At 35.4% G+C, this 22,179-nt stretch overlaps 1 protein-coding gene across 2 annotated transcripts in view; it reads right to left on the bottom strand.

The window, feature by feature from the left end:
- The window catches only part of ALCAM (activated leukocyte cell adhesion molecule), a 209,992-nt gene continuing 192,610 nt past the window's right edge, over positions 4,798-22,179 (bottom strand). For both annotated transcript variants that reach the window (NM_001627.4, NM_001243280.2), the window contains 2 exons: positions 9,734-9,846; positions 4,798-7,221 (listed from right to left, as the gene is read on the bottom strand). In NM_001627.4, coding sequence (NP_001618.2) covers positions 9,759-9,846 — 88 coding nt within the window. In that variant the 3' untranslated portion in view covers positions 4,798-7,221; positions 9,734-9,758. The remainder of the gene's footprint in view (positions 7,222-9,733; positions 9,847-22,179) is intronic.

Here is a 22,179-nt window from a genome sequence, read left to right as displayed (position 1 = left end):
GTAAAAGTGCAATGGCTTAAAAACGACAATTATTTATTATTGTGGCCCACATGTCTGTGGATTGTCTGAGAGACAGCTGGTACAGATTGGGCTTTAGTGACATTGGCTGGACTTGCTCATGTACCTGTGGATTGGCTAGGAGCTCTGCTCCAGGCTGGCCTTGAATGAGGCACCTTATGTGGTACAGATCTGCTCTCTGTGTCTCTCAACCTCCTCTTGGCATTAGCAGGGTTATTTGCTTCTGTTTTTCTCATGGCAGTGACAAATACAAAAGGGCAAGAGGAAACACAGTAGGCAGTTTCAGGCTGAGGCTCAGAACTAGTGGACTGTCACTTCCATATGATTTTCTTGGCCAAAGCAAATCATATGGCCCAATGTAGGATCAAGAGATGGGAAATGATGCTCTGGCACTTTTGTGGGAGGAGCTGCAAAGTCACATGGCAAAGGATATGGATATAAGTAAGGGTAAAGAATTAGGGCAACTAATGCAACAAATGGATCATCAAAGAAACAACAGGATGCTTTTTGCAAAAGCTTTTAACTTAAGGAGGCATCTTCTGGTACCTGCACAAACAGGGATGGAGGGAAAAGACTTACACTGTGGTAGCTTCCTCTAAGAAGCTGCTGCCTCCAAAGTCCAGAGAGCCATCCCTGCCCGCATGGGACTCACCTTAAAACTGAACACAAACTTCCCACTTTTGTAGAAGCCCTGGGAGGGAAACGGAGAGAAGAAAATTTTCTTCTCTAAGAAGAAAATGTGAACCAGGGATAAAACCAACTGTTTTGATTGGTGCTGATAGTTAGTCACATGCGTCATTACACAAAGACATCTTTCAGCAAATGCTCAGTTAATTGCTATTATAAATACATGTGGTTTAAATCTGGAAATTCAAGCTGATTTGGAGACCCAAATCATAACTGAACCGCTCCCCATACTCATCCAAGTTTCCAAACCTCAGCTGCTCCATTCTGGACTTTAATTTTTAAAATGGAATGCAAATTATTTTGGTAAAGCCCACTTGATTTTGCTCCCAACCACAGGATTTCCCCATTGGATCAAAAGCTTGGAAAAATCTTTTAAAGGAGAAACTGAGAAGCAGATTTCCCATTCACAACTTATACAAGCATTCATATGCGATATCCAATAATAAGAGTGAGGAATGATGAAGCTGAACCAACAAAAGCTGCCCCGCCCCTGCACTGGGTTTTCTTTGGTGCAATGCCAGGTACTACTGGGCAACGATGCTGAAGAGACCAATGTAAAGTTCACTCCATCAACGCTATAGAAACTTCATGAAATCAACTATATTCCTCAATCAATGTAAACGTTTGAAATGAACACTGATTACATACATTACTATTGTTATCAGGACAACAAAACATATAGTTAAGTGCTGTGGTGATAACTGTGAAGTACATATTTGATATTTTAATGAGTTTATTTTATTACATTCAAGAAAGGTTAAACTCAAATTAACAGAAAAGTAACAAAGCCACTACAGGCAATCTTTTAATGACATTTCTCTGTAAACAGATTCATCAGTTAGGAACATGGGGGCAGATGGATCTGTTGTTTATGTGGTGGTGTTTCCATTGTGACCAAAAACCCATCATCTTTTACACAGCTTGTATGCTGCTATTAGATTTAAACAAAAAGCTCTCTAAATTAAGAAATGTTATAAAAAGATTACTACTTTTTGTAGTAACTTAAAATATTTGTGGTAAATAAACCTACAAATATTTCAAATAGTCCTTCTTCTTGGAATCAGATTCAACAATAGGTTATGACTATTTGCTTTCAATTAAAGACTATTTTAAGGATATTCGTAGACAATTATAATCAAGCTAAGAAAAAGAAATTTAGTGATTACCAACAATGTAGAAGCCCAAAATTTCAGAGCAAACTTGGTTTTTAGAAAAGGTTTAGCATACAAGGAATGACTCTAATGCTTAGATATAAACCTTTTTGTAACAGAAATATTCCATTTCCTTAATAAGTCATTCCAGGGAGGGTTGTGAATCAGTTTTCAAGCAGTAACCCCATCTTATTTAACTAAAAAATGTGGCTTCCTTACTGATGAGAATTCAAAGAATTACACAGAGCTGTCCAAAACTGCTATCTCTGTGCAAGTGAGCCTCTCAGATGTTATGTGAATCAAGCCGTGAATTTAAACTGCTAATTGAAGCTAAAATTATTATGGCCTACCTGAGAAAGTAGAATCAAAAGAAAGATATTTTTGGGAGATCTTAAAATTTTATTTTGATTATTAACTCCAAAATAGTCCAAATTGAGTTGCTGACAGCATCCAAAAGTACTTTTTTCCCCCCCTGAGACAGGGTCTTGCTCAGTTGCCTAAGCTGGAGTGCAGTGGAGAGATCACTGCAGCGTCCACTTTCTGGGTTCAAGTGATCTACCCACTTCAGCCTCCCAAGTAGCTGGAACTACAGGCTTGTGCCACAACATCTGGCTAATTGTTTGTGTCTTTTGTAGAGATGGAGAGATTGGGTTTCACCATGTCGCCCAGGCTGGGCTCAAGCAGTCCTCCCACCTTGGCCTCCCAAAGTGTTGGAGATACAGGCATGAGCCACTGTGCCTAGCCCCAGATTTTTCTTTTTTTAATCAAATACTGTACTTTCTGGCGACTATAGCTTTTGCTCTCTGATAATATGTGGTCTTTCAAAGAATGTAAAAACATTATTTTGAGCCTCTGTGATATTAAGGCTCTTACTTGTTTCTTGGTAGCATAGAGATTATATGATTAGGTTTACTCAAACAAATTTTGTTGCAACTATTGGGTCTAATACACTATTGGACCTTTGACTTATGAATGCCTCCCATCAAAGCATCATGAATACTTCCACCTCTTAGCTGCTTTCTATTTTTGACAAATATTTTGTAGTCCTTCGATTTCTTTTCTGATAAGCAAATCCTGTGTTCTCTCTTCAAAAAAAAAAAAGGGATAAAATAGCCCATAGTGTGTGTGCCTCTGTGTGTGTGTGTGTGTGTGTGTGTGTGTGTGTTGTCTGCCTCTGTGTATTTGTGTGCATGCGCATGCATCTATATACCCAATTGAAGATCTTTTCTCTCATTCAGAGGCTTGATCATTACAGGGTAAAACCTTTCCCAGAGACAGACAATAAAAATGGATAAGACAAATAACTTGAGAATGAGATCTGCTTTTGGAGTCATGTGCCTAGGTATTAATTTTCCAGTGAATATTTGTGCATGTGAAAATCATTTATCAGGAAAAAATATGAGAAGCAGAATTAGGATAAAAAGAAATTTGATTAGAATGAGGATGAACAGGTGATGATAGAGTGCTAAGAAAAAAAATGAGCCCCAGTTTTCTGGCTTCATGTAAAAATACAGAGTATTTTTAAGAAGGTTTTAGTGAAGAAGCCTACATAAGAAATATATATTCAGTGTTTAACTGAAATATTTCCCACTGTGAAAGTATAATGTTTATACAGCCAAATATACTGCACTGACTTTTCAAATAGTAGTTAGTTCCATTTAATTCCTTAGATATAAGATTAAAATGCAGCTAACATTTACACCGTCATTTATTATTTTCAAAGCAGTTTTAATGTCTTATTTTAATCATATTACCTTGAATATCAATGGCACTAGTTACTAGAAAAACAAATAGGTTATTTAATGCTAATATATCTTTTTGTTAGTCTCTCCAAGTGTAGACGGATGTATATTCTTATAATGGGATGATAAACAATATAATGAATCGAGCCTGAACTTCAGCAACTTGAGCATGGGTCCTGGCTCAACCACTCTGTATCTGGAATTGTGACAAAGTTATATGCATTGAGTCTTCATCTTTAAAATAGGCATCACACCTCTCCTATCAGAGAAATTCAATGAAACATTATTTAAAACACGCACCAATACAGTACTGTCTCATAATAGGCACTTAGTATGTAATAACATATGTGAAGTTTAAAAATATGATGTGGAATATATTATACATTCTAATAACATGTCTAATATGTTTAAGTACTGTAGAAAAATTATGCAATTTTGCCCTTCTGAATGATTTAAATATCTCAGAATAATCCTTTTATCAATGGTATAACCCGTCCATGTGTCAATTAACGTTTTCCAATTTTACATATTATGAAAAGGAGCATTCTTTAGAGGAACTTAGGGAAGTACGTAGGTTGGGGCAAGGATTCAGATCTAGTTTGATACCCAACTTATCTACTTTGAAGCTAACGGCATTTGGGAATTATGAAGTTTCTCTAAACCTCAGGTTTTCAGCTGTTAAATGAGGGGGATATTTAGTACTATTTACAACTGTTAACTGTTAAGCGTTAATGTATGAATGACCCTAGCACATAGTATGGGCTCAATAAATGTTAATTTCCTTCTCTTATGTACACAGCTGGCTTTACCTTATTTTGGAGGGAATATATTTTCTGAAAGTTCAGGCCTGGGTAATTCCAAATGACAATCTGAATAGAATGTTATTGGCAGAAGTGAACAAATATGAAAATGTTCTCGTAATTAAGGTCCTAGGAGAGTTACATGGGACACCCAAGAGTAAGTATGATCCTATCTTTGAAGACAGATGCATTATAGAATCTATCACTGGTGAAATCTAGGGACTAGCTAAGGTAGCCCACCTGACCTAGTAGGAAGGCATGGTGAATTTTATTTTTCTGCACTCCTTCTCTGGAAAGATGGAGAGTCACAGTGAGTTTTCCACTATTTGATAAAGACAATCACTTTCCACACATGAACATTCTACTTTAGACAAGAGTCAGACAGCTGTGGGAGACCTGTGAAGACATATTTCAGTTTTATTATCTTTTAGGCATAGACGGGTATGTTAATCCATTTCCACAAACAATTCCTATAATCACATATAGGGAGTGAACCTTGAACTTGCAAAACCTGTTTCCTGTTGCCAAAGAGTTAAATTGGAGAGCCGAAACCTCAAAAGTTGAGGATTTGGAATTCTTTTTCTTCTTAGCATCTTCGTGCATGTGGCTGCCATTAAACAAGTAAGCTTTCCTCTTTATCCAGGCACTGAATCGATGGTAATAATGTTGTCTTTTTTTTTCCCGGCAAACTTTCTGCTTTCGGTCCAGAGCTCTGAGTTTCTCATGTTCTGCTCTCGAGGTTCTGACAGCTGTTTTTGGACTTAATTAACCATTGCAAGTGGAAACCAAGAAATAATTGTAGCATAACTCTCTCTATTGTCATGTTGCTTCTTTCTGCAAATATATCTTAGAAGTTAGACTTTAAACCTTTGATCTCCCACACCAAAAGAGAAAATAATATTTATATGGAAGTAATTTTATTTTAGTGTTTGTGATTTATTGTGGAGAGCAGGTGTTTAAAAATTTTAGAATTTCTTTAACAAAATTCTAAAGAGAAAATAAAAAAGAAATCACAGTATTTACAGAGATAACAGAATGGCTTAGCCATGCAAAACAAATAACTTTGGTTTTTCCCCTTTTACTTTGGTTTAAATGTTGACCAAGATTCAATTTTTTTTCCTGCCAAATAAAACTTCAATAAAAGTTTAGAGGCAAAATAACGTATTTTCTTTTTTTCCCATAATATTTTATACAGCATCGAGTCTAAGAATATTTTATGCATTTAATCCATACCAATGCACTACGGAAGCTTTTATTAAACGGAGTCACTATTGCCCAGACAGTAAATGGTTTACAAATGTACAATAACGTATGTTTCTAAATAATGCAGAAGTGGCAAAGTATTATTCCTATTCTCATCTGACTTTAATTTTCAATTTATTTTTCATTGCCTTCATAATTTTTTATTTCATGAGTCTAAGAAACAAACACCAGTTTTCCTTTTCCTTTCAATAACATAGTTCTATACCTAGAAATCTGATGTTCATTTATCTTCCCTTTAAAGTTGTGTAAATCCTGGGAAAGAAATCGCTGTGCAGTGTTCTCCCAGAAACCAGGCTTCTGCTTGAAAGAGCAAAGTTTAAAAGTCTAGTCACAAGTAGCCCATATCTGGTCTACTTCAAAAAGTTTCCATTTATACTACCACCTTAAAAATTTCCTCAAGCATAAAACATGTTTATAAAGTTACAAATTTGAATGTAACTAAAGATACATAGACATTTTATTATTACACTTTCATGTACTGCTTGATAAATTATGTATCAGTTAAAAACACTAAATTATCTCAAGGTGCATTCAATATCTGTAGGGTAGTTAACAAAAACACACACGAAAAAAATATATATTCTATATTCTGTGGAAAATAACACAGCTTTGATAATGACCACTGTTAAAAACTCCAATTCTGATTGATATCTTTTTAAACATGAAATAGGTATAATTTTAAGGCAGTGGATAACCCAAAGGATTTAACACCAATTTGTAATTATAGTGATTTACATTGTGATCTATGAAAATGGGAATGTTGACCATGATTTTTCCAAACTGTCTCTCACACATGCTTGTGTTTTTTCTTTTGACAGAAAATAATTTATTAGCAGGTGTCTGTAGAGGTAAGTGCTACCAAATTCTGTTTTATGTCTTTTTCAGAATAGGTAAAATTGTCAGTTTGGGAGTACCATTATGTATGTGTGTCTATATGCATCTGTGATTTATTTCTGAGAGTTCGCTGGTGGCATATCAAAGAGTCGGCTCCTATGGTGTCTATCAGTCTGACTCTCGGCCTCCCCTCCCTTGTGATAAAAATCACAGTTTTTAATTAGGGCAATATGAGTGTCCCCAATCTTCACAAGCTGCCACCTTTGGGTTTTAGGTGCTTATGAGAAAGTTTGGGGCATTGCTGATAGCAATCAGAATCAGAAATGTACCTGCTCAGATTATCCATATAAACAATTGAAATAAAAACATTACATTATACATCAGATTAACAGCAACTCCCAGAACAAAGCTTACAGTGTATAAAAATAGCTACGTAAAAAATTTACATAAAAGGCAAACCAAAAAGAAATCCTCAGTGCAGACATTTACGGAAAAAAAATTGAACCAAACACAACATATGACCTATTATCATGGCTGCCAAAACTTGTTCTTATTGTTTGTAATTAAATTTCATTTGTTTTACTTGAGATAATTCTCTGAAAACCTGTGACAGCTTGGTAGAATGAACTGCTTAATACTTGAACCATGAATTGCTGTCAATGTCTTTGTTTATGTCTTAAATACAATCCACGTTCATGCTTCAATTGGTCTATATGATTTTTATCTCTGAAATGAAAAAAAAATAATTTAGATAAGCTTCCAAAGCAATAATTTTTTAACATCAACAGATACTTTGTACTAAAAGTAATTTAGTAAATTACTTTACAGGAGGGCCTTTTATAAAACTCCATTGTCCCCAAGCCCATCTATAATCTCAGGCATTGCTTCATCCATTCTACAAATAGTTTTTGGAATTATTCAGAGTTTTCTTTTTTTGTAAAATTAATACTAATATTACAAGTTTTTTTTCAAGAAAATATTTCATTGCATTTCTCTTTAGGTTAAAAGTACACTCATTTCTTCAAATCACACTATTTCGTGGGATTTGTCTTCAAGTACAGTTTTTCATTGAGAAGTTATACGATTTTGAAGAAAACAGTAGTTAAAATCTATGTTTACAAAGGACTGGGGAAAAGAACCCTAGAGAAGTGGAAAAAACAAACAAAAAAAGTCATGTGGGAATGCTGCATACTTGACCTCCAATGAAAGGTGAGATAGAGAAGCAATCCAGTTCTGATTCCTTTCACCCCATCAGTTTAAAATCCTGGCTTTCAGATTTTAAAAACCAAGTCTTGTTTCAATTATTCTATTGTTCTCCCCTGTGTGCATCCTTTTAAATTCAGTATTTTCTCACGCTCCATCCTTACTATGGGATTAACTTGGATGACCCACTCAAATTGTGACTTGTGGTTTATTTATAATGAACCCGAGGTTTACTGTGGCGGTTGGGGCTTGTCATATCATATCGGTAAGCTATAGTAACAGTTATTCTAAAGGACACATTAATAGTCCAAATGGCTCTTCTATTTGCTTGGTTTAAGGGAACACAAATAAAAAGAAAAACCTCAAATTGCAGGTGGCAATGCCATGGAAACATACCTCTTTTGAGATTGTCTTAAAAATCACACACAGCTATTTTATATGTTAAATATAACAGTCATATGCCTCTACATATGTGCATATAGATACATGGATACATATATACACATACACATACATATACTACCTATAAAAGCATATGCGTATATGTATACACACGTGCACAAGTTTGTTATGCTTTTCATTAAAATGATTTGGGATATTGGCTGTATAAATACACTCACGCTTTTATTAAATATCTAGATTAAAGTTTTTTATTTTTTTATTTTTATATTTTGAGACAGAATCTCATTCTGTCACCCAGATTGGAGTGCAGTGGCACCATCTTGGCTCACTGCAACCCCCACCTCTTGGGTTCAAGTGATTCCCCTGCCTCAGCCACTGGAGTAGCTGGGATTATCGGTGCTTGCCACCAGGACTGGCTAATTTTTGTATTTTTAGTAGAGACGCAGGGTTTCACCACATTGGCCAGGCTGGTCTGGAGCTTCTAGTCTCCAGTGATCCACCCGCCTCAGCCTCCCAAAGTGCTGGGATTACAGGCGTGAGCCATTGCCTATACCTGGCCTAAAATTTTCATATTTTAAAATTATTTTCATAATCATTTATTTAAAACAAATCTAAGGTATTAGAATCTGTTCTTACTGAACCCAAACACCAATTCAAAAAATAAAGCTTCTTTGCACTTAAAGTTTTTGCATTAAAATATAAAATGATAGTTGAATGTTAACATCTCATAGTTGGTTTTTATTATTCAGAAGATAATGATTATTTTGAGGAGGGAGTGGGGGAAACTGGTAAGTTTCCATTCTTCCGAAAACACTTTCTGAGTCACGAAAGTTTCCTTTCGAAAAACTCTCTTCCTGTTTTGAGAGAATGTGGAAAAATAGGAACGCTTTTACACTGTTGGTGGGAGTGTAAATTAGTTCAACCATTGTGGAAGGCAGTGTGGTGATTCCTGAAGGATATAGAACCGGAAATACCATTTGACCCAGCAATCCCATTACTGCGTATATAGCCAAAGAATTATAAATCATTCTACTATAAACACACATCCACATGTATGTTTATTGCAGCACTGTTCACAATAGCAAAGACTTGGAACCAACCCAAAGGCCCATCAGTGATCGACTGGATTAAGAAAATGTGGCACACATACACCATGGAATACTATTCAGCCATAAAAAAGGACGAGTTCATGTCCTTTGTAAGGACATGGATGAAGCTGGAAACCATCATTCTCAGCAAACTAACGCAAGAACAGAAAACTCAACATTGCATGTTTTCACTCATAAGTGGGAGTTGAGCAGTGAGAACACATGGACATAGGGAAGGGACCACCACACAATGGGGCCTGTCAGGGGGTGGGGGGCTAGGGGAGGGACGCATTAGGAGAAATACCTAATGTAGATGATGGGTTGATGCGTGCAAACTACCATGGCACGTTTATACCAGCGTAACATACCTTCACGTTCTGCACATGTATCTGAGAACTTAAAGCATAATAAAAAGAAAAAAAACCCCTCTCTTCCTGTTTTGAAAGCTGTAATTATGGAGCATCTTAACATAAAGGACTTCATCTTTAAGGATGTTTCCTACTTGCTAGGGAATTATTTCTATGAACCTCGTACAGACTACTCACCTGGACAACTAGGACAGTTTCTCTCTTAGGCTTCAGTTTTGTGATTGTTTTCTTCTAACTTTTTGTTTTCTTCCATATTACCGAGGTCCTTGTTTACATGTTTTGATGCAGTCCTGTAAGAGAATTAAATAAACTTCATCATATTGACACATACATGTTCAACTTTTATATTTAATTTTAAGATTTGAATTAATGTGTCTTTGAAAAGCAAATGTTTTACAGCAAACCGCTAGGCAAAAATTTCCATATCTGTGAGCCTTGACTGATAATGGAGCACATTGTACTGAAATTAGCTTGGTGATGGGGTTCCAGTAAATGTATGCTAAGAGAAAAAAAAATCAATTATTTTGAAAACAGACTATACAACACTTTGTGCATCATGTTTTTAGCTAGGTTATTTTTCTCTCCACTTTCTGGGAAGTAACTCATTTGATAGTGTAAATTTTTGTTCTAAGCGAATTTTCTCCAAAAAAATTTTCTTAAGGACATTTCATGAAGGCGCGTTCCCTTCTGGTGTTCCCTATCATGTATCCCAGTTGAGCTAACACCCTATGTCTATCTTTATGAATATTCTGTTTTACTGAATACAACAACAACCAGATTATTGAGACCAAGTTTATGATAGAACATCGACAACAGAAGCTATAGCAACTTTAACGTGGCTGGTTCTCAAATTATGGTCCCCAGACCAGCAGTATCAGCATCCCCTGTGAACTTGCAAGAAATGCAAATTCTCGGGCCCTATACCAGAACTACAGAAACAGAAACAGAAACTGTGGGGATGGGACCTGCGATCTCTGCTAAACAACTCCTCAGGTGATTCCACTGCCTGCCACAGTTTGAAAACCAATGCCTTAGCGGCTACTTTGATTACCCATGCCTAGGCTCTTATTCTTTAAGACATTAAATCAGATTTTCTTAATTACACAATTAAGGGTTTGTGGCTAACTAGGAGAAAGCAGAACAAATGGTAGCTGTATGTCCAAGAGTGCACCCCTTCCACCTTCCCTCCCTCCCTTCCTTCCTTTCCTCCCAGCATCCAGAATAAGAGACAATTGCAGACCATTATATGACCTTGCAGTCTACTTCCTGCCCAAAGGCTACTACAACCTGAATTCTCACATAATAGTTTTACCTGCTATTGTAATTTGTACATAAATGGAATCATCTCAGATTTATTCATTTGTGTTTGCCTTTTATTTAAACTCAACCTTAAGTTTGTGACATTCATGTATAATGGTGCATATGATTATAGATTGTTCATTCTCATTGGTCTATAGGATGTCATAGGGTGAATAAACCACAATGTATTTATTTATTTTACCGGTGATTGCTATTCTTGCTCTTTCATTCTTCTGGAATTTCAATTCTATACATAGCTTAGACATGTGTGTGTCCACATGTTTCTTATGCTCTTGTTGGTCTTGGCTGTTCTTTTTCCTCTCTGTGCTTCAGTCTGTGTGTCTTCTATCGATGTGTATTCCAATTTCCTTTTCCTGTGCTCTGCTGTGGCCCATCTGTGTTAAATTCATCCACTGAAAACACAGTGTTTAATATTATGTCTTTCAGTTCCCAAATGTCAATTTGATCCTTTAAAATCAAATTGACATTTTGGAACTGAAAGATATAATTCTTTTTCTCTTTTCAATTATTGCATTTGAATTCTCTACTCCTTTTATCTCTTTTGAGTATCTTTTCTTACACATTTTCTTATATATTTATAGTTATTTTCATTGCCTTATCTATTAACTACAATATTCAAATAATTCAGTTATTGTTTGCTTATCTTACCTACTTTTTCTCTAGATTATTGATTGTATTTTCTTGACTCTTTGAATATCTTGTCCTTTTAAATTTTGCTGACCCTATGAACAAAAGAACTGTAGAGACCCTACAGAATGTTATTTTCTATCAGCTATGGCTCCCCCTTTCCTTTGTTAGGCTAAGGGGCTGATTACACAATTCTATCAGGTTATTGACTTTTGTTGGAGCCCCACTGCAATTTTAGTAAAATTTGGTCTACCTTTGGCTTGCTCCTATTCCTAAGGCATGGTTCTTTCAGGCTTCTAATTGACATCCTAGAAAGTATCCCTTTCTTTAGCTCAAAAAATGCAAAGAAATCCAGCTTTTCCCTTCAAGCTCTTAGCTCATTTCTCCATCCATCTGCCCCAAGGAAACACTGAGATGTGAGACATCTCTTTAGTTTCCTTGACTTGACCACAAACTCTTTGAGAATAATAGCCATGTTTTATTTATATTTTATCCATAGCACATAATACAGTGACTAGAACATGGTAGGCATCCAAAAGATCATTATTCTACTAAGTTGAACTGACATGATCCTTTATGTCTATTTCCTTCCACTGTTCCTTAATATATTAGTGTTCACCAATATGAAGTCCATACATACCCAGCTGCTTTTTTTTATAAGCAAGTTGACAAAATACTACATTGAAATGACAGAACTTGAGTGATTCTTAATCCAACCTTTCCAGATAGTTCTGCACAAAATTATATTCATAAACAGGTCTTTGATTATTCTAATAGCTACTAACTATATATCCTAATAACTATAATTTCTATAAATCAGTAAGATATTGTGGCAATTTAAAAAAGCCACATAATCCCCAAAATCTCTTCTCTCCTCTCTTTTTTCTTCCCCTTGTCTTCTCTCAGTCCTCTAATTTTTTTCTCCATTCCATTCCTCCTTTCTTTTTCTTTCTACTTCTCCTTTTGCTTTCTCTTTTTGTCTGTTTTCTTTTAAACTCACTTCATTAACTGCCACTCCTTTCATCTAAAGTAAGAATCATAACTTGTTTGGAGCAACTAGAGAGTGATACATAAAGAAGTCAACATTCAGTTGGTAAATCCTAAAAAATAAAATTAAAAAAAAAACAACAATGTAATACATCAGGACAGTGACTACTATAATATAAATTGCAATTTTAAGTTTTTTAATCTGCCTTGACCTGTATGGTAAGAATAAAGCCATATTCTCATTGAGTGTGCAAATGATTTCACAACCTTAAAATAAAGCATGGACTACAAGGAGTTCTGTTTTGAGTAACACTGAAAAAAAAACAAAACACCAAGTGTACTTTGTTAACTCTTATATTTATAACAATTATAAACCCTCAGAAAAGTACAGAATGAAGTATGTGAATGTATTTGAGAGTGACAAAAATAAAGTAGAAATTGAAAGAAAATTTTACATGGCTTTTCCTCTGAGGGCACTTCTCAGCTTGGGAGGCATGGTCTAAGTAGACCAAAAGCTGGAAATCAAGGAAGAAAAATCTTAGAAAGGAGACAGCCACAGGGTGGCAAGAATTCCAAATTTGCGTATACACTATGATAAGCTCCTTGGATGACCCCCTGAATAGCATATGTGGGAGAAATTTCAAAGAGCTTAGTGGAAAGCAATACCAGAAGGCTTAGAAGCCTGATAGATTTTTAGGTACTACCCACACAGTTTGGAGTTGAACTTCACCAAGCCAGAAGTGCTTAGCAAACACATCAGTCTTGGTACTGAAACCCCAGAAAAAACAAGAAAGACTATGTGTCAGAACTAGACACAGGCTGGGCTCAGTGGCTCACACCTGTAATCCCAACACTTTGGGAGGCAAAGGTGGGTGGATCACTTGAGGTCAGGAGTTCGAGACCAGCCTGGCCAACATGGTAAAACCCCTACTAAAAGTTTTTTGTCTAAAATTTTTGTCCCTACTAAAAATACAAAAATTAGCTGGGCATGGTAGCGTGTGCCTGTAATCCCAGCTACTTGGGAGGCTGAAGCAGGAGAATCGCTTGAACCCAGGAGGCAGAGGTTGCAGTGAGCCGAGATATTGTACCATTGCACTCCAGCCTAGGTGACAGAGCAAGACTCCATCTCAAAAAAAAAAAAAAATAAAATAAAATAAAATAATAAAAAAAATAAAATAAAAGAACTAGACATTCATCCTAAGACAGACATGGAATACAAACCGTAAAATTAACCATCACAAGCGCAAGGTGACAGTAGAGTAATTAGCCAGTAATCTAATTGTCTGCTAGGAAAAGCAACTCATATCCTTTAGAAAAATATAACAGAAATTATAATCTAAAACATATCACCCACAAAATCCATTATATAGTAAAAAAGTTACAATACATACACTGAATAGAAAAATGTAACACAAAGTCCAGGGAATGTCCTTAGGTGATGCAGATTTACAGATTTTGGAATCAGCAGGCAAGAATTTTAAGTCAATTATATAATACTCACTTAATGGCTTAAAGGAAAATTTGGTAACAATGAGAGAGCAGATGGAAATATCAGCAGCAAAAAATGTGAACAAAAATAATTCTATGACTGAAAACTAGAATATTGATATTGAACAATTCACTAAATGCTCTTAACATCAGATTAGAGGTGGCACAAGAAAGCATTAGTGAACCTAGGAACAAAATTGTAAGTCACAGATTCTGGAAAACAGAGAGAAAGAAAACAGTAAAAAAGTGAGGAGATGGTGGAGTCCAGGGCAGTGGAAAAAAAAAAAGTGAGCAGATCTTCAGTGGCCTGTGAGATGATAGTGAGCAGGCTAACATATGCTGACATACATGTATTTGAAGTCAAACAGAAGAGAAAGAGAATGAGGCAAAACTATATTTAAAGAAACAATGAGAAAATTTCCCAGGTTTGATGAAGCCCATTAACTTGAAGATCCAAAATGCTCAGAAGTCCGGAAGGAGGAAATGCAAAAGGAAAAACACACTCAAGTTAATCATAGACATACTAACCAAAAGCAAATATAAAAAGAAATGTTTGAAAGTGCCACAGAAAATTTGTTCAGGAGAACAATAACATAAATAACAGGTGATGTCTCATCAGAAAAAAAGTGCACACCAGAGATAATTAAACATCTTTAAAATGCTGAAAGGAAAAGTTTTAAACCCAAAATTTTATATCAGTGAAAAGATCCTTCACTTAAAGGCAAAAGAAAGACATATTAAATTAAATGAAAAGAAAGTAGAAAAAAGTATCACCAGCAGACCTTTCCTAAAGGAAGCATTAAAGGAAGTTCTTCGAAGGGAAGTAACACCAGATGGGAATTCAGATACGTAAGAAAGAATAAAAAAATACAGATTGTAGATATGTAAAATATTTTAAAAGACAACTAACAGTTTAATATATATGCTTTATATGCATATATATGTAAAACACAGTTGATCTTTATAATATATGCAGATAAAACAGATGTGACAATAATAGCAACAAAGATAGAGGAAGTTAAATGGGATTATGCTTCAAAAATCTTAGATTTTTAACATGAGTAGATTGTTTTGAGTTCTTATTGTAATCCTTATAGCAACCACAGTAAACGAACACAAAGAGGTATAGTTAAAAGGCCAGTAGAGGTATTAAAATGTAATACTAAAACTTAATTAAGTAATTCAAAAGAAGGCAGGATGGAAGGACAGAAGATTCCTAGAAAACAGATAGGGAGGTGGTCTTACATATAATTGATAATTATCAGAGATAATGAGAGATATTTTGTAATTACAAAGGTTTCATATATAAGGAAGTTATAACAATTGTAAGTATATGCACCTAATAAAAGTATAAAGTAAAAACTGACAGAACTGAAGGGAGAAATAAATAAATGTACAATCTTTATTGAATGATTCGATATCACTTTCTCAATAATTGGTAAGACAATTGTACCAACATTTAATATGTATGATCCTGATGAAGTAAATAGTACAGTTGTCCCTTGGTATCAGCAGTGGACTGGTTCCAGGACCTCTCTTGAATACCAAAATCCACATATGTTCCAGTTGCTTCACTGGGCTAGCTCTCTTGCCATAAACATGTATTTTTAAGAAAAAGAATAAAAGAACAAGTATTTTCTGTCATTGGACAACAGGTAGCAAAGTACTCTGATCTGTGTGATTTCTAAGGGAAAAGCCACTAGTTGCACTTGATGACAATCCAGGCTTTGTGCCTGGAAGTATTTTCTGGTGGTGCCAAAAATAAGGACCCAAGCAGAAAAGAGTTTTCACTGAGTTGAGAAGGCAGAAATCATACTTGGCTGGAAGGAGATGATGAAAATTGCAGGAAAGAGGTAGAGTTATGCAAAGAAAAGCGCATGAGAAATTTACATAAGCATTCCTTTGATTCCTTCTTCAAGTACTAATTTGGATACATCCATCATAATCTAGTTTAAAACCAAGCTCCAAAAAAAGTTAAGCTGATCCATAAGTAACTTGGCTACCTGTCAAACAAAATTCAAAACAATATAACATCCAAATTTCCAACATCCAAACAAAAATTACTAAACATGCAAAGAAATAGAGCAATGTGACCTATAATTGGGAGAAAAAATGAATTAATAAAACCCTACAAATAATTAAATTAGTAGGCAAGGATTGTAAAATAGGAATTACAGAAGTTTATAAGAATTTAGAGGAAAACATTAGTATAATAATAATAGAAAGAGAAGACTGAAAATAAAGTTGAATATTTAGGACTGAGAAACACAGATCAGAAATGATAATTTCATGTATGGGGTTACTGGAAGATCAGATATTGCAACTGAAATAAAATCAGTGACAATTAAGTTATAGACATAGAAATTATGCAACATGAATCTTTTCAAAACAGTAAAGGCAATAAAAATTGAGACAGGATCTGTGGGACAATTTCAAGCAGTCTAATATATGTATACCAGGAGTCTTATGAAGAAAGGAGGGTAAACATATATGTAAAAAAATTGCTGAAATTTTTTCCAAATTTTCAAAAGCAGTGAAAAATAATATCCAATTACTTCTTTTTTCTCCAGAGATGGGGTCTTGCTCTGTTGCCCAGGCTGGAGTTCAGTGGTACAATTATAGCTCATTGCAGCCTTGGACTCCTGGACTCAAGCGATCATCCCACCTTAGCCTCTGTTTTTTTTTCTTTCCAGACAGAGTCTTGCTCTGTTGCCCGGGCTGGAGTGCAGTGGTGTAATCTTGGCTCACTGCAACCTCTGTCTCCCAGGTTCTCAGCCTCCTGCATAGCTGGGATCACAAGCGTGTGGCACTATGCCTGGCTAATTTTTGTATTTTTAGTAGGGACAGGGTTTTGCCACGTTGGCCAGGCTGATTTCAAACTCCTGGCATCAAGCAATCTGCCTGCCTCGGCCTCCCGAAGTGGTGGGATTACAAGTGTGAGCCACCCACCTGGCTGATCTCCTTGTGTAGCTAGGACTACAGGTTTGCATTACCACACCTGGCCAAAGTCCAACTACTCCTCATTAAAAACAATACAAGCCAGAAAGCAATGGCACATCTTTAAGGTACTCAATATTCTAAGAAGTATCAACCTAGAAATCTGTACCCATGAAATTAGCAAACAAAATTAAAAATGAAATAAGAACATTATCATAAAAATGAAAACTCAGAATTTACTGGCGGTAGACATGCACTCCCAGTAATGTCAAAGGAGGTTTTTCAGAATGAAAGTGATAGACAAAGGTTCAGATCCACTAAAAATAAGAAGAGTGCTGGAAGGAGTAAATAAGTAGATACAAAAGAAAGTTTTCTCATAATTTTTAATTTTTAAAACAGATAATAGACTGCAGAGCATAAAATAATGACAGTGTGTTGTGAGGCTTAGTACTTAGAAGATAAATAACAACAATGGCACAAAATACCTGAAAGGGAAATAGAAGTGTATGCTTGTTACCTTCTTACATTACATGTGAAGTGATTTTGTATAATTTAAAAGAAGTAAGTAAGGGTAAGAATATTTAAACAAACTATGATTCACCTTAACCTAATCCTAAATGACAATTATACAACACTACACCCATAAGCCCCCAACAAGTTTTTTTTTTTCAAATGTCCGTGGAGTATTCACAAGGAAAAACTGCATGCTAGGCCAAAAAATAAATCTCAATGTACTTCAAAGACTAAAAGATTATGTAGTAGGTTGTGTTGACAAAAAAGAATTAAATAAGAAATGGGCCGGGCGCGGTGGCTCACGCCTGTAGTCCCAGCACTTTGGGAGGCCGAGGCGGGTGGATCATGAGGTCAGGAGATCGAGACCATCCTGGCTAACAAGGTGAAACCCCGTCTCTACTAAAAATACAAAAAATTAGCCGGGCGCGGTGGCGGGCGCCTGTAGTCCCAGCTACTCGGGAGGCTGAGGCAGGAGAATGGCGTGAACCCGGGAAGCGGAGCTTGCAGTGAGCCGAGATTGCGCCACTGCAGTCCGCAGTCCGGCCTGGGCGACAGAGCGAGACTCCGTCTCAAAAAAAAAAAAAAAAAAAAAAAAAAAAAAAGAAATGCTTGGAATTTCATACAGGTCTAGTCACTTGACTTCAAGGAAGAAACCACAGGGAAACATTCACTGAATGAATAAGAAAACACAACATACCGATATTTGTGGAACACAGGTAACAGTGCTGAGAGGAATTTATAATTTCAATGCTTGTCTTATAAAAGAAGAAAGTCTAATACTAAGAATCAAAATTTTTATTTCAAGAAATCAGAGAAAGGAGAAAAAGTGGAAATGTAAAGAAAAAAGTAGTAATGATAAGAGCAAAATCATAAAAAATAAGCAATAGAGATAAAAAAAGCAAAAAGTTATTTGAGGTCATTTTGAAAATTGATAACACCCTATAAAGACTAAGAAAGATAAAAGAAAAAATAAATTAGCAATATCAGATAACAAAAAAGGGTTATCACTATAGAACCCATAGGCATAAAAGGGATAAAAAATTCTACCGGCTTTTTTTTTTTTTTGCAAAAATGTCAATAATTTAAATGAAATGGATAAATTATTGAGCAACCTGCCAAAATTTATTCAAAAAGAATCAACCCTGTATCTATAAATTGAAATTTGGCTGGGTGCTGTGACTCATGCCTGTAATCCCAGCACTTTAGGAGGCCAAGGAGGGCGGATCACCTGAGGTTGGAAGTTTGAGACAAGCCTGACCAACATGGAGAAACCCCGTCTCTACTAAAAATACAAAAATTAGCCAGGCGTGGTGGCGCATGCCTGTAATCCCAGCTACTCAGGAGGCTGAGGCAGGAAAATCATTTGAACCTGGGAGGCGGAGGTTGCAGTGAGCTGAGATCGTGACATTGCGCTCCAGCCTGGGCAACAAGAGTGAAACTCTGTCTTAAACAGAAAAAAAATGAATTAATTAATTTAAAAATTTACATTTTGTTTTGAAGCAAGTTCTCATAAAGAAAACTCAAGGTCCAGTTAGTTTCATTATTGAATTCTATCAAATATTTAACGAATTAACAAACTTGGAAAAAGAAGAGGATGGGGCCCTTTTATTGATCCATTTTATAAGATCCACATTATTCTAGTACCAAAACTTGATGGGAATGTTATAAGAAAACAAAATTACAGACCAATATTCCTCATGAACATAGACAAAAGAATTGTTAATAAAATGTCAGTAAATAGTATCCATCAATATATAAAAATTATGATACATCATAATAGACTAAGATGTATTTCAAGAATGCAAGACTGGCTTACCATTCAACAATCAATGAATGTAATTTACTATATTAACAGAGTAAACAATATGATTATTTTAATAGATATAGAAGAACATTTGAGAAAATCCAACAATTTGTGATAAAAACTACTGGTAATCTAGGAATAGTAAAAAAGTTATTCAACCTGATAAAGGATACTTTGTAGTAAAGAATTTGCTTCATCCAAAGAGATATCTGACCTTTGTTTTCAGTTTCTGGGAGGCAACATCTAAACAGTTGGAATTTTATGAGTTACACAGGTTTTCTTATCTATGCTGCTCCCTTAAATTACACCTGATAGCTTATGCTAATGAGATGTCTCAGGGCAGGGCCTTCTACACTAGTCAGTCTTAGGGTGGGGTATAATGACACTAGAAAGACCAATCATAGTTTAGGGAGGGAACTTTGAGCTATGTGATATCAGCCTGACCTGAGGAGGAGACAGGCTGGAGGTTAAGTTCAACCAATTAATCATGCCTATGTCATAATGCCTAGTGAAAACTGTAGACACTAAAGTTTGGGTGAGCCTTTCAGGTTGGCCATACTCCATGCTTTTGTTACACATCGATGCTGGTAGAATAATGTATTCCTGAGGACAATGGAAACTTCGCATTTGGAATCCTCTTAGACTCTGCCCTATTTGTTTTTCCCTTGGCTGATTTTTAATGTAACATTTTCTTGTAATAAATATAATCAGGAATATAAAAATTTTAGTAAGTTCTGTGAATCTTTCCAGTGAATTATCAAACCTGAGGATTCTTTTGGGAAACACCAAAACTTGCATTTGGTGTCAGAAGTAAGGGTGATCTTGAGTGTACTCTTCCCTCTTACTTTGTGGTCGGACCCTAACTCCTTGCAGGTGGAGTCAGAATTCTTGGGCAGACTAGGTAATCTGGAGGATTATACCCTTAACTCTGCAGTTTGACTAACTCTGGGTAGGGACATACAGCTAACATCGTACATAATGGTAACTATTGAGCAATTTCCCCTCTAAGACTGGAAACACGCAAAGGTGTCCATTCTGAACATTTCTATTCAGCCGTGTATTGGAGGTGCCTATGAGTGCCAAAAAAGCAAGCAAAAGAAATATATGGCATATAGAGTAGAAGGGAAGGAGTAAAATTATCTCCATTTGCAGATGCAATCATTGTTTACATAGGAATCCACAAAACAACGAATATAACTACTAACAAGGTAATTTAGTAAGATGTCAGTATACATTTCAACATGAAAAATTAATCACACTTTCACATACTACTAGGAACAATTGGAAACATTACAAAATTAATTGTATTTATAATAGCTGCAAAATGTATAAACATACAGGAATAAACTTTTAAGGACATATCAAATGTCTACATTTAAAATTTGAAATATTACTCAGAAAAAAATTGAAAAGAGCCAAGTAAATGAGGAGATATATGATCATGGATTTGAAGACCAAATATTAGTAAGTTGTCAAATCTACCCAAATTCATTTGTACATTAAAAGCAACGCTAATTCCACAAAACTTTTTGTGGCACAGAAATTAGCAAGTTGCTAAAATTTATATGAACATGCAAAGAAATAAGACCTCTGAAACAACCAGAAGATTATCACAGTTGAAAGTCTCATACTATTATGGTAAATTAAGTTTTGACAAATGTGTTACGGCTGAAAGGAAGTCCTTTTAACAAGTGCTGGAATGGCTTGATAAATAGATACAGCAAACCCAAAAACCAAACAAAATCCCACCTTTATCTCACACTAGACACAAAATTTTAGATAGATCATACCCTTCAATGTCAAAGTTTAGAAGTTTCTAGGAGATAACATAGGAAAATACCTTTGCCATTTTGGGATAAGCAAAGATTTCATATAGTAGACACAAAAAGCACGAACATAATAGGAAAAATTGATAGCTGTTCTTCATCAAAAGGAATAATTTCTGCTTATCAAAAGACAGCATTAAGAACAGGAAAACCAGGCTACAGACTGGGAAAAAATGTTCAAATATATCTATATATGTCAAAGGATTTTAATGCAAAATATGTTAAGAACTCTTACAAATCAATTACAGAAAGACAAATACCAATAAAAATCATAGGCACAAGATTTGAATAGTCGCTTCACAAAGGAAGATATAAGATAGCCTATACATTTATGGAGCTTAAAATTATTAGATCTCAAGGAAATATAAGTTAAAACCAAAACTAGTTATTAATTCACACCTCCTAGAATGGCTAAAATTCAACAGAATAACACCAGATTTAGGCAAGGATGGGAAGGAACTAAAACTCTCATATGCGACTGGTGGGAGTTGTAAGCAGGATGACTATTTGTTTATTTCCCATAAACAAATGTCTGCTGGAAGATCAAGCAATTCCACTCCTAGGTTTTTACCCAAGAGAATAGAAACATATGTCTGCAAAAACCACTTGTATAAAAATGTTTATTTTAGCCATACTATTTGCAGTAGCCCAAACTGGAAAGTATCCAAATGTCCAAGAAGAGAATGGATTTTAAAGATATGGCATATTCTAATGATTAAACACTATCAGCAATATAAAAAAAGAAGCCACTCATAGGTGTAACAACATGAATAAATCTCAAAAACATGTTAAGGGGAAGAAGCCCATTATAAAAGAGTACCTTTTCTATAATTCTATTTGTATGAAGTTCAAGATTAGGCAAACAATCTCTGGTCATAACAATTAGCCAGTGGTTTCCTAAGGAGACAGGGATGATGGGGCTGGACAAAAAAGAAGTCTAAGGGAACTTTCTGGGGGTGATGTAATGCTCTTTATCTTGAAGGGAGTAGTAGTCACTGCTATATACTGAATGTTTGTGTCCCCCTGAAATAGATGATATGACCATCACATGATTAAATTGTAAAGGTGGAGCCCTTACGAATGAGATTAGTGCCCTCCTAAAAGGGACTTTGGAGAGCTCT

This window comes from Homo sapiens, chromosome 3 (genome assembly GCF_000001405.40).
Source record: "Homo sapiens chromosome 3, GRCh38.p14 Primary Assembly".
NCBI classification, from domain to species: Eukaryota; Metazoa; Chordata; class Mammalia; order Primates; family Hominidae; genus Homo; species Homo sapiens.
This window is presented reverse-complemented; position numbering and strand designations above follow the sequence as displayed.